The sequence below is a fragment of the Homo sapiens genome, chromosome 11, assembly GCF_000001405.40.
Source record: "Homo sapiens chromosome 11, GRCh38.p14 Primary Assembly".
Taxonomy (NCBI): Eukaryota; Metazoa; Chordata; class Mammalia; order Primates; family Hominidae; genus Homo; species Homo sapiens.
Genome location: NC_000011.10, coordinates 68,947,500 through 68,959,389, shown reverse-complemented (window position 1 = coordinate 68,959,389; position 11,890 = coordinate 68,947,500). Strand labels below are relative to the sequence as shown.

The following is an 11,890-nucleotide window of genomic DNA, read 5'->3' as shown; positions in this document are numbered from 1 at the left end:
ATCCCCAAGACAGAGGCTCACTCTGTCTCCCCAGGATGGAGTGCAGTGGTGCAATCTCAGCTCACCGCAACCTCCACCTCCCGTGTTCAAGCAATTCTCCTGCCTCAGCCTCCCTAGTAGCTGGGACTACAGATGCCTGCCACCACGCCTGGCTAATTTTTGTATTTTTAGTAGAGATGGGGTTTCACCATGTTGGCCAGGATGGTCTCAAACTGACCTCAGGTGATCTGCCTGCCTCAGCCTCCCAAAGTGCTGGGATTATAGGTGTGAGCCACCGCACCCAGCCTCTACCCCTTCCTTTCTTCAGGTCACTGCTCAATGCCACCTCTTCAGAGAGGCCTTTGCCAACTACCTTTTATGAAATAATACAGCATGGCCAGGCGCAGTGGCCCAACCTGTAATCTCAGCACTTTGGGAGGCCGAGGCAGGTGGATCATGAGGTCAGGAGATCGAGACCGTCCTGGCTAACACAGTGAAACCCCGTCTCTACTAAAAGTACAAAAAATTAGCCAGGCGTGGTGGCGGGCACCTGTAGTCCCAGCTACTCGGGAGGCTGAGGCAGGAGAATGGTGTGAACCCGGGAGGCAGAGCTTGCAGTGAGCCAAGATCGCGCCACTGCACTCCAGCCTGGGTGACAGAGCGAGACTCCGTCTCAAAAAAAAAAAAAAAAAAAAAAAGAAAGAAAAAAAGAAAGAATGCAGCAGCACGCACCCCCTCCCTCAATCCCCCCACCTCGCTTCATTTCTCCCCGGTGCAGTTATCACTGTCTGATATGTGACATGCATACACATCCACCAGGAGGACAGGGACCATGTCTGCTTTGGTCACTGCTGTGCCCCAGGCCTGGGGCCTTGCCTGGCACAGAGACATTTGCGGAAGGATACGTTTGGGGAAGGCTCCCACTTGGCAGGCCAGCCCTGGGCATCCGGGCAAAGATGGGGGTGGCAGCCTCGAGGGTGGAGTGGGAGTGGTAAACCAGGCGGCTGAAGCTCACACTCATCTCCAAGAGAGCCCCCTTTGAACAACATAACCCCATGGTGACTCTCCCCCCAATCCGGGTGGGAGCACCAGTGTTCATGTGGACACGCATGTGTGTGACTGTATGAATGAATGAAGGCGGGTGATAGGTGCCTGCCTGCCAGTGTGAGTGCCTACAATACCCGACCCACACCCTCTTTGGCTGGTGCTGGCCACTGGTCCCCACTAGCTGTTTCCCGCATCCGTGGTTTTCTCTCCCTGCTGCAGGGAAAACTCCCTGAGAGGAAGGCCTGACTCTCTGACTTTGCCCAAGGCTGATGGCAAAGCTGACAGTCAGTCAACAAAATCTGACTTCGGAATAAAAAAAGGCAGGTTGTGCAGGAGCTGCTGCTTTGCTTTATTTATTTTGAGGCTATGTTATTAGGAGCATACAAACACATAAGTGTTATATCTTCCTGGGAACTGGAGCTTTCTTGATAACTTATGATATTATCCTCCTTAATCCTAGTCATGTTATTTTCCTAACGGTCTGTTTTTGTTTGTTTGTTTGTTTGTTTGTTTTTGAGATGGAGTCTCGCTCTGTCGCTCAGGTTGGAGTGCAGTGGCGCGATCTCAGCTCATTGCACCCTCCATGTCCCAGGTTCAAGTGATTCTCCTGCCTCAGCCTCCTGAGCAACTGGCACCCGCCACCATGCCCAGCTAGCTTTTGTATTTTTAGTAGAGACGGGGTTTCACCATCTCGGCCAGGCTGGTCTTGAACTCCTGACCTTGTGATCCACCAGCCTCGGCCTTCCAAAGTGCTGGGATTACAGGCGTGACCCACCGCGCCCAGCCAACAGTCTGTTTTGTCTGGTATTCGCAGAGCTCACCAGCTTTCAACTGGCTGGCGCTTGCACGGTTCATCTGCTCACCTCCTTTGACTTTGCTCTTTCTGTATCCTTATCTGTTAGACGCGTCACTTGTACACAATTTGGAATTGGGTTAAGCTGTGACTTCAAAAATTAAACCCACCATGGCAGTAAGCGGGTCTTTGGTGACTCCCCTGTTGCACCCTGGAGTCTACCCTCTGGTTGTGCAGGTGGGCAGGGGGAGGGTCAGCCCTCCCTGAGGGGCCACAGTGATTGAGGGAAAGGACCAGCTCAGGACTGGCTCTAGCTCCACCACTGCCTCCCATCAGGTGCCCTCCTTGAGCCTCTGTTTTCTCATCTGTGCAACAGGGATACATCCCCCTCCCACCTCCAGCTGCTGTGAAGAAGGGATGTGCAGGTCCTGGGTCCATCTGTCACTGTCACTGGGCAGTGTTATCCCTAAGGTGGAACCCTGGGCCCTTTCAGCAAGAGGGCTTGCAGTAGGTGAGAGCTATCTGGGCACACCCTGCGGGTCAGCATGTGGCCACAGCCACCCTTTCGGGACCCAGTCCAGCCCAGCCTAAGCGGTCCCCCTCTGTCTTGTCCCTGGGCCCACCGAGGGTCAGCTGAAAGATGTCAACCCCACGAGGTACTGCAGGCTCTCAGAGGATGAGCCTTCATCCCAAATAAGGCCATGGTGTATTTGGCTCTCGAACCTAACTACATTTCATTTCCCATAGCAGGACTACTCCTGGAGTCCACATCAAACTTGGAGCATCCAGGTCACCACATGCCAGAGACAACCAGGCACAGGAGCCAAGGGAGGTCCGGGTGACCGGGGGAGGCTGGGGTGATGGAGGAGGCTAGGGTGACAATGGCCCTGGCCTGGCAGCCTCCCCTGCTCTGCTGCAAGACCGCCCACCTCCACCCCCACCCCAGCAGCCCCTCTTGGCCCCTCTGCCGAGGGGAGTGCTGGCCTTTTCCAGACCCGCTCGCTGCAGTCTGACCTGGGGAGCCAGGAGCACACGGGAGAGGGAAGCATAGAGAGAAAACAGAAGTGGCTGTCACGGCTTCCTCCACCCCGAAATTCTTCTTTAAGCAGACATAGAGGAGGGGAAGGTGGGGGGCCACTAAGAGCCCAAGAGACACCACCATCGGGATGGATAAGCTGGCTGCCCCTCCCACTCACAGAGCAGGTGCATGGGCCGTCCCAACACCCCCCCCCCACCACAGCGACCCCCAGTGGCGTGCCAGGGGCTCTAAGAGTGACTCGAGGCTGGCCCTCCACCGGGCAGGCAGCTCCTCCAGCTCGTAAACAAAATGGGCCATCCGGAAGAGGCAGCAAAGCAGGACCTCGGGATACACCACCCCCACCCTGCCCCCACCCCACCCCCAGGCCCCTACCCTGCCCCCACCCCACCCCCAGGCCACCACCCTGCCCCCCAACCCCCAGCCCCCCACCCTACCCCACCCCAACCCTCCATCCTGCCCCCACCCTGCCCCGCCCCACCCCCAGACCCCTACTCTGCCCCAGCACCCCCATCCTGCCCCCGCCCCACCCCAGCCCCCCCACCCTACCCCCACCCTGGTCCCCACCCTCGCCAATTCCCAAAGAATTGCTCCCCAGCGAGGCCCTGTGCAGATGGGCTGTGTGTGGCTGGGAAGGAGGGGGCCATGTACTGAGGGCCCTGAAACTCAAAAGCCTCCCACGAGACCCCCTGCCCCAATCTCAGATCCCCCTCATGCAAATTGCTTCCAGCCATCATGTCCCCACCCAACCGGCTCCCACAGCCCCAGAGTGGCCTGAGACCGGGGGCCTCCACCATCCAGCCTGGACAGGGAGGCCCCTGCTGGATGAGGACCCCACTGCAGTAAGCAATTGGGGACCCCGGGCCATTGAAAGCTGCAGAAGTGAGCTGGCACTCCCTGTTCCCAGGAATTTCTCCCAGGGAAAAGATTTCACTGAAACGACCCCATAGAGCTGCCATGAAGATGAAAGGACACAGTGCAGGTGCAGGACTCGGCGTAACGCCCGGCACGCAACACAAACTCGAACGTGACTTCGCTAATAAAGACTTGGGTGCCGCCCTCCCTCAGGCCAGGGCGGTTCCTGGCGTCATAAGGAAGTTAATCATTCAGGCCCCCACAGCACCGGATACTACTGTTCCCAGCACTATCCTCGTTTTACAGGCGAGGCCACCGAGGTCTGGAGGGGTTTGAGTGGCTTGTCACAAAGCCAGGAGGCAGCAGAAGTGGACTCTGCAGCCAGATGTTGGGGCTCCAGAGCCGTGAGCGAGCATAACCAACGTGCTCTTCTCGCTCTCAGGGGTGGGTACTCGGGGGAAAGTGCGTCTCCTCCCCCGTCTCATGCTCTCCAGCCAACCCCAAGCCCAGCATGGAGCCTGCATCCAAAAACACGGGCGGATGCTTAGTATCCTCCATCGCCAACAAAGCTCAGGCCTGCAACCGGGGCACCAGGTGGGACCAGGACAGGGATGAGGCGCCATTCTGAACACTGGAGGAAAAATCAAAGCGCACACTGGTTGGGGGAGACCCCAGCTCCCTGGGCAGAAAGTTAGAGGATTCTTTACTGGGTGCATTAGTTACCTGGAGAGTAACTATGGCTGCTGGAACAAATGACTGCCAATTTCACGGCTTAAAACAACACAAATGTGTTATTTTACAGTTCTGGAGGCCCAAAGTCTAACACAGGTTGGCAGGGCTGCATTCCTTCTGTAGTCTGTAGGAGAGAATCTGTTCCTTGCCTTTTCTTTCTTTTCTTTCTTTCTTTTTTTTTTTTTTTTTTTTTTTGAGACAGAGTCTCACTCTGATGCCCAGGCTGGAGTGAAATGGCGTGACCTCAGCTCACCGCAACCTCCACCTCCCAGGTTCAAGCGATTCTCCTGCCTCAGCCTCCCAAGTAGCTGGGATTACAAGCACACGCCACCACGCCTGGATAATTTTTGTATTTTTAGTAGAGATGGTGTTTCACCATGTTGGCCAGGCTGGTCTCTAACTCCTGACCTCAGGTGATCTGCCCGCCTTGGCCTCCCAAAGTGCTCAGATTATAGGCGTGAGCCACCACACCCCGCCTGTTCCTTGCCTTTTCTAGCTTCTAGAGGCCACCTGTCAACCTTGGTTGGTGGGCCCTCCCCCATCGTCAAAGCCAGCAGGGTAGCATCTCCAATCTCTCTCTTCCATCACCACATCACCGTGTCTGTCTCTTACATTCATGCCTCTCTCTTTTCAGGACTCTTGTGATTTGATTACACTGGGCCCACCACGATAATTCAGAACAATTTCTTTTCTTTCTTTTCTGTTTTTTGAGACAGGGTCTTGTTCTGTCACCCAGGCTGGAGTGCAGTGGTGCAAGCACAGCTCACTGCAGCCTCCACCTCCTGGGCTCAAGCCATCCTCCCACCTCATCCTCCCAAGTAGCTGAGACTACAGGCATGCATCACCACACTCAGATAATTATTTATTTTTTGTAGAGACGGGGGTCTCACTATGTTGCCCTGGTTGTTCTCAGTTCTCCTGCTGCAGCTTCAGTGCTGGGATTACAGGCGCCAGCCACCACATCTGGCCTCCTAAGAGTTTCTGAGTCTCAAGATTCTTAATCATACCTGCAAAGTCTCCTTTGCCATTTAAGGTAACAAATTCACAGATCCTAGGGATTATGACATGGACAGACAACGCTGGGGAGCTATTATTCTACCACACTGGGGAAAATGGCCTGCCCAAGAGGCAAGAACTCCAGACAGTGATATGAAAGGTTTTCCCCAACGAAATCACTAATGTCCTTGTAAGCTGACAATGAAACCACTAATCAACTCACCCTTCCCCCATCCGCACACCTAGAGCTTTCTGTGAGCTATTAGTGCTGTACTCTTAAATAAAAAGGGAGTTGGTTGGGCGTGGTGGCTCACGCCTGTAATCCCAGCATTTTTCGAGGCCAAGGTGAGCAGATCACGAGGTCAAGAGATTGAGAGGATCCTGGCCAACATGGTGAAACCCTGTCTCTACTAAAAATACAAAAATTAGCTGGGCATGGTGGCATGTGCCTGTAGTCCCAGCTACTCCGGAGGCTGAGGCAGGAAAATCACTTGAACCTGGGAAGTGGAGGTTGCAGTGAGCCAAGATCACGCCACTGCACTCTAGCCTGGAGACAGAGCAAGACTCCGTCTCAAAAAAAAAAAAAAAAAAAAGAGTCTGGCCGGACGCAGTAGGTCATGCCTATAATCCCAGCACTTTGGTAGGCCGAGGCAGGCAGATCACCTGAGGTCAGTGTTCGAGACCAGCCTGGCCAACATGGTGAAATCCCGTCTCTACTAAAAATACAGAAATTAGCCAGGCGTGGTGGCTCATGCCTATAATCCCAGCACTTTGGGAGGCCGAGGCAGGCAGATCACCTGAGGTCAGGGTTCAAGAACAGCCTGGCCAACATGGTGAAACCCCGTCTCTACTAAAAATACAGAAATTAGCCAGGCGTGGTGGCTCATGCCTATAATCCCAGCACTTTGGGAGGCCGAGGCAGGCAGATCACCTGAGGTCAGGGTTCAAGAACAGCCTGGCCAACATGGTGAAACCCTGTCTCTACTAAAAATACAAAAATTAGCCAGGCGTGGTGGCTCATGCCTATAATCCCAACTATTCAGGAGGCTGAGACAGGAGAATCACTTGAACCCAGGAGGCGGAGGTTGCAGTGAGGGCCGGCAAGTCTCCCCGCTGCCCTGCACCTCTGTTTCCTCACCTGAAAACACAGACAGAACATCCACACCTCCCTCCCAGGGGGAGAGTGAGGGCCAAAGGAGACAGTTTTATAAAGAGTCTGGTTCAGAGGCTCGCTGCAAAGGCCTAAATCACTGCTGGCTTTTCAAGACATCCAGAGGACAGACTACCATGAAACCCCACATTTGCACTCCTAAGTAAGTAACCAGGAGAAGGAAAAAGACGTCCACATTAAAACTTGAACACAAATGTTCATAGCAGCATTATTCACAATAGCCAGAAAGTGGAAAAATCGAAATGCCTACCCTGATGAATGGATCAACAAAAAGTGGTGTGCCCACACAGCAGAATGTTATTCTGTCTTAAAAAGAAATGGCGAGGCCGGGCGCGGTGGCTCACGCCTGTGATCCCAGCACTTTGGGAGGCCAAGGTGGGTGGATCACCAGAGTTCAGGAGTTCAAGAGCAGCCCAGCCAACATGGTAAAACCCCGTCTCTACTAAAAATACAAAACAATTAGCTGGGCGTGGTGGTGCACACCTGTAGTCCCAGCTACTTGGGAGGCTGAGGCAGAAGAATCGCTTGAACCTGGGAGGCGGAGGTTGCAGTGAGCTGAGGTCACACCACTGCACTCCAGCCTGGGCGATAGAGCGAGACTCTATTAAAAAAAAAAAAAAAAGGAATGGTGAGCTGACACGCTGCAGCACCAATGAAGCCGAAAGACATGCTCAGTGAAGGAAGCCAGTCACAGAAGGCCGCATGTTGAACAACTCTATGACAGGAAATGTCCAGAAGTGGCAAATCCACTGAGATAAAGTAAATCAGGCCAGGTGTGGTGGTTCATGCCTGTAATCCCAGCACTTTGGGAGACCGAGGCGGGTGGGTTGCTTGAGCTCAGGAGTTTGAGACCAGCCTGGGCAACATGGTGAAACCCCATCTCTACAACAAATACAAAAATTAGCTGGGTGTATTTTTTAGCTGGGTGGCACATGCCTGCAGTCCCAGCTACTCAGGAGGGTGAGATGGGAGGATCACTTCAAGCCAGGAGGTGGAGGCTGCATGCAGTCAGCTGTGATTGTGCCACCGCACTCCAGCCTGGGTGACAGAGTGAAACCTTAAAAACAGAGCTGCCACGGTGGCTCACACCTGTAATCCCAGCACTTCAGGAGGCCAAGGCAGGTAAATTGCTTCAGCCCAGGAGTTTGAGCAGCCTGGGCAACATGGTGAAACCCCATTTCTACAAAAAATACAAAAATTAGCTAGATATTGGTGGCGCATGCCTGTAGTCTCAGCTACAGGGGAGAATGAGGTAGGAAGATCGCTTGAGCCCAGAAGGTTGAAGCTGCAGTGAGCCATGATTGCACCACTGTACTCCAGCCTGGGCAACAGAGCGAGACCCTGCCTCAAAAAAGAAAGAAAATGTAAATCAGATCTTTCCCAGAGGCCCCCAGCCTCTGGGGGCCTCTCTCCTCTGTCCTCCTCTCCGCTGTTCATTAAACAGAACCAGGTTCCCAGGTCCCCCTGGAATCAGGCTCCCAGGTCCACCTAGAATAGGCACAGGTCAAGGGGATAGGCTTGCCGTGACTGGCTGAAACCCCCAAAGGCCATTCCCTGGAGCCACACACCACACCTGGAACCACAGCTGGGTTCTCCTGGCCGGGCTGATGTCAGATGTCTCCCCCAGCAACCAAGGTGCAGAATGTACCAAGGTGTCATGACCTCTGTCAGAGAATCACACAGTTCTCCCAGCAGACAAGCGGGTACTGACACCTGTCATGAGACAGAGCGGGCCTGTGAGAGGAGGAGCTCGGCCCCTGTCCGGCTGACCCAAGTGACAGGAGGAACTCCGACCCTATCCGGCTGACTTTGAAAGGGCCAGGCTGAGAGCTGCATCCACCGCTGCTACAATGAGGACAAAGAGCTCCTACCCCAGGGGGGCTGCAGCCTTCCCTGCTTCTGCTCATGGCGAGGGGCCCCAGGTCTCAGTAGAACTGTCTGGTAGATGCCAATCAGCCTGACATCACTAGAAAACCCGGAATTCTGCATATACATGCATTTCCAGGAGTGTGGGACTTCTGGGTAGCATATGTGCATTAAACAAGAAAGAAATACAATTCTTATTATTAAGAACATTTGGACAGTGCTTTGTGAGCCATTAAAGTCACTCGTCCCCCAAGCCGGAAGCGTGGGGATCTTCCCAGCCCCTCACCCCTGCAGGAGGCCAGTCTGCAAGTTCTGATGACTGAGCCCATGCATAGTCAGCAGATGCGCCCCTGTGTACCCCACCTGACTCTGACTTCTCCAGACTATAGCTGCTGGCAGGTTTTCCACCTCAGACACCTCCTCAAGGCAGCCACCAGAGGGACTTTTCTAAGACACAAACTGGGCCAATTTCCCTCTCCTCACTGCCCAACTCTGGCTCACCCCAGCCCACAGCCACCGAGACCACACAGGCCTGGGATGGAGAAAGAATGTGGAGGACCCCAGACCCACTGGAAATCTGGCCTTTCCTTGGCACTTGCTGAAAAATGGGAGCAGCTGCGACCCCATCAGCTGCCTAACTGGAAAACCAGCAGGAATTGTCCTGTTCTGATTATAGAACCAACATTCATCATTGGAGAAACTTTTTTTTTTTTTAGCTATAAACGAGAGACCAAGAATCACACCAAATCCCAAAGATCAGAGGTGTTTACAATGGCCATATGCCTTTGTATCTTTTCTTTTTCTTTTTTTAATTTTAGAGCCAAGGTCTCACTATGTTTACCCAGGCTGGCCTGGGACTCCTGGGCTCAAGCGATCCTCCTGCCTTGGCTTCCTGAGTAGCTCGGACTACAGGTGTGCGCCACCACACCCAGCTCCATCTTTTCTATGCATATATGTGTGTTTGGCGTACGTTGAGCATGCTGATTTTGTAGTTTTATATCCAACTTTTGTCATTAAGCACTAACATTAAATGATTATGTAATATAATGTGATTATAAAATGATTCTACTGGTTGTTTACAAAGTATCTGCAAAGGGCCAGGTGTGGTGACTCACGCCTGTAACCCCAACACTTTGGGAGGCTGAGGTGAGAGAATCACTTAGCCCAGCAGACCAGTCTGGGCAACAAAGACCCTATCTCTACTAAAAATTTTTTTAAAAAATTATCTGGGCATGGTGGCATGTGTCTGTAGTCCCAGCTACTCAGGAAGCTGAGGTGGGAGGATCTCTGGAGCCCAGGAGGTCGAGGCTACAATGAACCGTGATTGTGCCACTGCACTCCAGCCTGGCCAACAGAGCAAGACCCTGTCTCAAAAAACAAAGTCTCTGCAAAAGATAACTTAAATATTATAGAGCAACAGTCTCCAGCCTTTTTGGCACCAGAGACCGGTTTCGTGGAAGATAATTTCTCCATGGGCCAGGCCGTGGGGCGGCAGGGGGAATGATTTCAGGATGACCCAAGCGCATGACATTTATTGCACACTTTATTTCTATTATTGACATTGTAATATATAATAAAATAATTCTACAATTCACCATAATGTAGAATCAGTGGGAGCCCTGAGCTTCTTTCCCTGCAACTAGACAGTCCCATCTTAGGGTGATGGGAGACAGTGACAGATCATCAGGCATCAGAGTCTCATAAAGGAGCACGCAGCCTGGATCCCTCGCATGCGCAGTTCACAATAGGGTTCGCGCTCCTATGAGAATCTAACGCCGCCGCTGATCTGACGGGAGGCGGAGCTCGGGCGGTGACGCGAGCAGTGAGGAGTGGCTGTAAATACAGATGAAGCTTCACGGGTGCACCCACCACTCACCTCCTGCTGTGAGGCCCAGTTCCTAACAGGTCATGGACCCGTACCCCTGGGACCCCCTGATCTAGAGAAACATCCATGTAAAGTTAGCGGATTGAACACACACATCTACATAAGGCCACTAAATAAATTGATGCCACAGAATCACCTAAAGGCTCAGGAACTGGGGGCCTTGGGAGCCCAAGAAGTGGGGTGGGAAGGAGCTAAAATAAGGCGGGTGGATGGAAGTCTTTAAAAGAAGCAATCAGTCATGGAGACAGAAAATGAACAGAGATTCCAGGGGCTGGGGGGTTGGTATTTGATGGGGATGGAGTTTCCATGTGGGAAGATGAGAAAGTTCTGGAGACAGATGGTGGTGATGGTTGCACAATGCTGGGAATGTAAGGGATGCCGCTGAGTTGTACACTTGCTTACACAATGGTTAAAATGTTAAATTTCATGTTATAGATATTTTACAATTTTTATGAAAGCAGCAGCAATCAGATCTTCTAATCCCATCTGCTACTCAGAGAAGCCTCCTCCTCTACTCTGAGAAAAGACCAAATACCCGACTAGGCTCTGCAGTGGGTAAAACAGAATGAGTCTGCCTGAGGGTCCCAAGGCATAGCTGGGCGGGGGAACCCCGTACTGAGTGGAGGGTGAGTAAGCAGGTGTATGAACAGAGACTGTGATTGCAACCTGGCACATCCAGGGGGAAAGACTTCTGGTCCCTGGCTCAACGGCCGGGCAGCTGATGCCTCAGTGAAGCCCACAGTCAGCGAGCCCTCCGCACGGTCTTGGAGAGTCAGTCCCTGGCTGATAGGAGGGGACAACTACCAGAATCTGCAGAAAGCCACGATGCGAAAGGCAGACGGAAGCCATTTGTAATCGAAACACTGCAGGAAAAAGAAAGCAGCAAACAATACAAAACCACACCCACAGACAGAAAAGAGAAGACGCAGCCCCACAGGGAGAGCACTGCAAAAAGGGACATGAGGGAAGGGCTCTTCGATGCTGAAAGGAAAATGGTGTGAATTTTTAAAACCTAAACAAAAATAAAATGGTTGGAAAATAAGGCTGAGGAACATCTCATTGTTTAAAAAAGGAAGAGATGGAGAGATAGAAAACAGGAAAAAAGATGTAAGAAGGCCAGAGGCAGTGGCGCACGCCTGTAATCCCAGCCCTTTGGAAGGCTGAGGCAGGTGGATCACTTGAACCCTGGAGGCTGAAGCTTCAGTGAGCTATAATCGCACCAGTGCACTCCAGCCTGGGTCACACACTGAGACCCTGACTCAAAAGCAGCGACGGCCTGGTGCGGTGGCTCACGCCTGTAATCCTAGCAGTTTGGGAGGCCGAGGCGGGTGGATCACTTGAGGTCAGGAGTTCGAAATTAGCCTGGCCACATGGCAAAAACCTGTCTCTACTAAAAGTATAAAAACATTAGCTGGGTGTGGTGGCGGGCACCTGTCATTCCAGGTGTAATTCCAGCTACTCGGGAGGCTGAGGCAGGAGAATCGCTTGAACCCAGGAGGCGGAGGTTGCAGTGAGCTGAGATTGCGACAC

At 52.8% G+C, this 11,890-nt stretch overlaps 1 annotated feature.

Annotated features, from left to right (window-relative positions):
• Positions 2,972 to 3,021: a silencer, noted in NCBI's record as "silent region_3686". NCBI's record gives its function as "represses an Ori minimal core promoter by ATAC-STARR-seq in GM12878 lymphoblastoid cells {active_cell/tissue: GM12878}" and the evidence as "EXISTENCE:reporter gene assay evidence [ECO:0000049][PMID:35858748]".